Genomic DNA, 3,847 nt, shown 5'->3' with positions numbered 1-3,847 from the left:
TTTACGGCTTGACCTCAGGGGCGGGGCATGGAGTTTCCTGGAGAAATGTGACCCTCTTGGGCGCTGACAGGAAGGAGGTGGAATCCAACTCGGATCCTTGTGACAGTCCCTCCTTTCTTATCTGTCTGGCTACTTTGTGCTTGAGCCGCTGGCACCGCCCGGAGCAGCCCCTGCGGCGCCCCGCGCGGGGGTGGATGGCAGTTTTAAGGGTTGGGAGCATCTCGCTTCGTGGCAAAGGCTTGATTTCCCGGCAGCCTTTGCTGCTTTCCTGAGCGGCGTGTTAGTTGCTTTTCCGGTCACGTGCATCGCCGCCCCTGCGCAATCCACCTAGGAGGTTAGGAAAAAGCTGCCCAGCCCAGACTCCATTTCCCGGTGTGCCCCGCGGTGGCGAGGGGCGTAACGGTTGTTGTAGTCCGGCCCCCTCCTGGCTGGTCCAGCCACATTAACCGGCAGGATGTCGGAGGTGCGGCTGCCACCGCTACGCGCCCTGGACGACTTTGTTCTGGGGTCGGCGCGTCTGGCGGCTCCGGATCCATGCGACCCGCAGCGATGGTGCCACCGCGTCATCAACAACCTCCTCTACTACCAAACCAACTACCTTCTCTGCTTCGGCATCGGCCTCGCTCTCGCCGGGTGAGGGAGGGAGGCGCCGGTTGGCCAGGGACGTCTGCAGAGCGTGGGGGTAGACCCACAGGTCTTTGAGGACCAGGACGGGGAACCTGAGGGGGGTGCAAGGCCGGGAAGGGCGAAGTCAGTAGAGATGGACGGCCTGAGGGGCTTGGAAGGGGGGCCTTGAAGGAGGTGGAGCCTAGTTATAAGGAGGGCCTCAGGGAGATGGAGCCTGGCTGATGAGGAGGGCCTGCGGGGGATGGGGGTCTGCAAGGAAGATATGGGGAGGATGGAGACAAGTGTGGGACTGAAGGGGAAAGTGGGCTGGAAGGTGAACCGGAAAAAAAGGAGGGCCCGAAAGGGGGACATGAGAGTACTTGAGGGGCGTAGGGGGGGTGTGATGTGAATGATGGGGCCAGATTGAGGCCGACCCTGGAGTACTTAGGGCAGAGACCGGGAAATAGACGGTAAAGTTGGAGGGTTTGGAAGATGTATTTATTGGGGATCCGGTCTTGGAGGGGAGCCTGGCTATGATTGGAAGGCGCCAGGGGCAGGTACCTGTTGGGGAACTTGGGCCCAGGAGGAGGATCCATGGTTGGAAAGCCTGAGACCAGAGAGGGATGGAGAATCTGGAGGAAGGACTTGAGCAGTGCTGAAAGTTCAGAGTGGGGCTGACGACCTGGAAGAGGTCCTAGCAATGATGGAGGGAGGAATCTATAGGGAAATGGGAGCCTGGAGGGCGGTTCTATAAGGACCCTAGGCCTGGGGAGAGGGGAACGTGTGAAGACAGAAGGCCTGAAAGAGGGATTTGCAGGGGCTGGTGTTAAAGGGGGAGCTTGCGGGCAGGCTGATGAGGGGCCCTACGGGGGCAGAGTCGGAAGGAAAGTCCAGGGAAGTGTTGGGAGCCCGGGGGTGTGGGGAGTGTCTAGCAGGATGGGAGGGCCTGAAGCGGGGACCTGAGGAAGACAGGACAGTGGAATTGACAAGGAGGAAAGGAGGGGTCTACAAGGGTGAGTCGGGAGCCCTGGCAGATGGGCCTGCTGGAGATAGGGCTGGTGGGAGGATGTGCCAGGCTGGAGTGTCCGGAGACGGGAGACCCTGGCTCTTGGGGCCCAGGGTGGGTGGTGGTCCGGAGGCCGTCTCTCCGCCCGGCCGGCTAGCTTGGTTCCCTTGTACCCGCAGGTACGTGCGGCCACTTCATACGCTCCTGAGCGCGCTGGTAGTGGCGGTGGCCCTCGGCGTGCTGGTGTGGGCAGCTGAGACCCGCGCAGCTGTGCGCCGCTGCCGCCGCAGCCACCCTGCAGCCTGCCTGGCCGCAGTGCTTGCCGTCGGCCTCCTGGTGCTCTGGGTCGCGGGCGGCGCTTGCACCTTCCTGTTCAGCATCGCCGGGCCGGTGCTTCGTGAGTCTCCACTACCCCGAGATAGCCAGGAAAGCAGCCAGAGCATGCTTAAGGCACCAGGCCAGCCCTGCCGGTCCCCGGGTTGAGAGGGGGCTGGGAAACCCGAGGGCCTCGCCACGCCCCCGCTAAAAGCGCCTTCCCGGGCTTCGTTCCCCCTTCTGGGAACACCCCTTTTATTATCGCCTTTCCTATCTCACTCTTGGTGTTAAGTGCCTTCCACTGGCCACGTCCCCGTTACCGGGCGTCTTCCCTGGCCATGCCCACGTTGCCAAGCCAATTACTCGGCCACGCTTTCAGTATCTGAGGCGTCCTGGCTGCTCACCACTCCATTGGCCTGCCTGCGCGCCAATTCCCTTCGGTGGGCCCCGGTTGGCTGCAGGCTGAGGTCTATTCCACTGACCACCCCTCTCGGTGCCGCCCACAGTGATCCTGGTGCACGCCTCGTTGCGCCTGCGCAACCTTAAGAACAAGATTGAGAACAAGATCGAGAGCATTGGTCTCAAGCGGACGCCAATGGGCCTGCTACTAGAGGCACTGGGACAAGAGCAGGAGGCTGGATCCTAGGCCCCTGGGATCTGTACCCAGGACCTGGAGAATACCACCCCACCCCCAGCCCATAATTGGGACCCAGAGCCCTTTCCCAGCACTTAAAACAGGAGCCTAGAGCCCCCTGCCCAAACAAAACAGGACATCTGTGACCGCCCTACCCCCACGCCAGCCCCAAACTAAGATATCCCTCACACCCAGCCCCCATTACCTAGGGACAAGAGTCTTCCCCAGCCTTGAACCCAGGACCAAGAGCCACCTACATCCAGCCCCAAAACTGGCTTCAGGCCAGAGCATCCATGGCCAATTTCAAATTGTGAACCCAGAGACACTCCCATCCACCCTTCTCCATGCTCATCCCCAAACTGGGGCCTGGGGCAAGGCACTCTCAAATCTTGAACCCTGGACCAAAGCTTTTCCAGACCCCACCCTACCTTCCAACCCAGGTCAAGACATTGCCAAATCTTGAACTCAGAACCCAAGTGTTCCATGCCCCTGTGTGGATGGAGTCGGGTATCCTGACTGTTGGACCCCTGGTCCAGGTGATCCCGACCCTCACCAGTCCCATTTGCCTCCCTCCAGCTCTGCTTAGGCATTTTGCCCCTCACCCCAATGTTCCACACCATCGACAACCAAGGGGTGAGGTGGGGACAGGCCTCAGCAGGGAATGGGGCGTATATGTTAGTGTTGCTGCAACAATAAAGCCTGTTGCATCTCTCATGCCAATTTGAGCCTCCTGGGTAAAGTCCTTGTACATTTCAAAGGACAGAAGTGGCCTACTTTTCAATTCTGCTAGACTCTTCCTGAATATGTGGGCTGAAGAGGTGATCTCTGAGGCCCTTCCTTGAACTTATGACCTCTGGATCAGCATTAAAGCACAGGGAAGGACAGGTGCAGTGGCTCACGCCTGTAATTCCAACACTTTGGGAGGCTGAGACTAGAGGATCACTTGAGGCTAGGAGTTTGAGACCAACCTGGGCAATATAGCAAGACTCTTATTGCTACAAAAAAATTAAAATTTAGCTGGGCATGGTGGTGTGCTTCTGTAGTCCCAGCTACTTGGGAGGCTGTGGCAGGATGGCCAGAGCCTAAGAGGTAGAGGCTGCAGTGAGCTGTGATTGTGCCACTGCACTCCAACCTGGGCAACAGTGAGAACCTGTCTCAAAAAGCTGGGCATGGTAGCTCACGCCTGCAATCCCAGCACTTTGGGAGGCTGAGGCAGGAGGACTGCTCAAGCCTAGGAGTCCGAGACTAACCTGGGCAACATAATGAGACCCCCATCTCTACTTTTT

The 3,847-nt window shown here is 59.2% G+C and overlaps 1 protein-coding gene across 1 annotated transcript, besides 1 other annotated feature; it reads left to right on the top strand.

The window, feature by feature from the left end:
- Positions 158 to 257: a silencer, noted in NCBI's record as "silent region_20834". NCBI's record gives its function as "represses an Ori minimal core promoter by ATAC-STARR-seq in GM12878 lymphoblastoid cells {active_cell/tissue: GM12878}" and the evidence as "EXISTENCE:reporter gene assay evidence [ECO:0000049][PMID:35858748]".
- PRAF2 (PRA1 domain family member 2) lies at positions 440 to 3,281 on the top strand. The gene is made up of 3 exons (NM_007213.3): positions 440 to 633; positions 1,792 to 2,009; positions 2,434 to 3,281. Exons 1-3 carry the CDS (start codon positions 455 to 457, stop codon positions 2,571 to 2,573), a joined length of 537 nt encoding a protein of 178 aa, NP_009144.1. The 5' UTR covers positions 440 to 454; the 3' UTR covers positions 2,574 to 3,281.

This window comes from Homo sapiens, chromosome X (genome assembly GCF_000001405.40).
Source record: "Homo sapiens chromosome X, GRCh38.p14 Primary Assembly".
NCBI classification, from domain to species: Eukaryota; Metazoa; Chordata; class Mammalia; order Primates; family Hominidae; genus Homo; species Homo sapiens.
This window is presented reverse-complemented; position numbering and strand designations above follow the sequence as displayed.

Bases quoted from the DNA above. Each gene is read 5' to 3' on its own strand.
- PRAF2 (NM_007213.3), top strand. From the start codon at position 455: ATGTCGGAGGTGCGGCTGCCACCGCTACGCGCCCTGGACGACTTTGTT. The intron at 634-1,791 runs GTGAGGGAGGGA...TTGTACCCGCAG, and splicing joins ATCGGCCTCGCTCTCGCCGG to GTACGTGCGGCCACTTCATA. The intron at 2,010-2,433 runs GTGAGTCTCCAC...TGCCGCCCACAG, and splicing joins CATCGCCGGGCCGGTGCTTC to TGATCCTGGTGCACGCCTCG.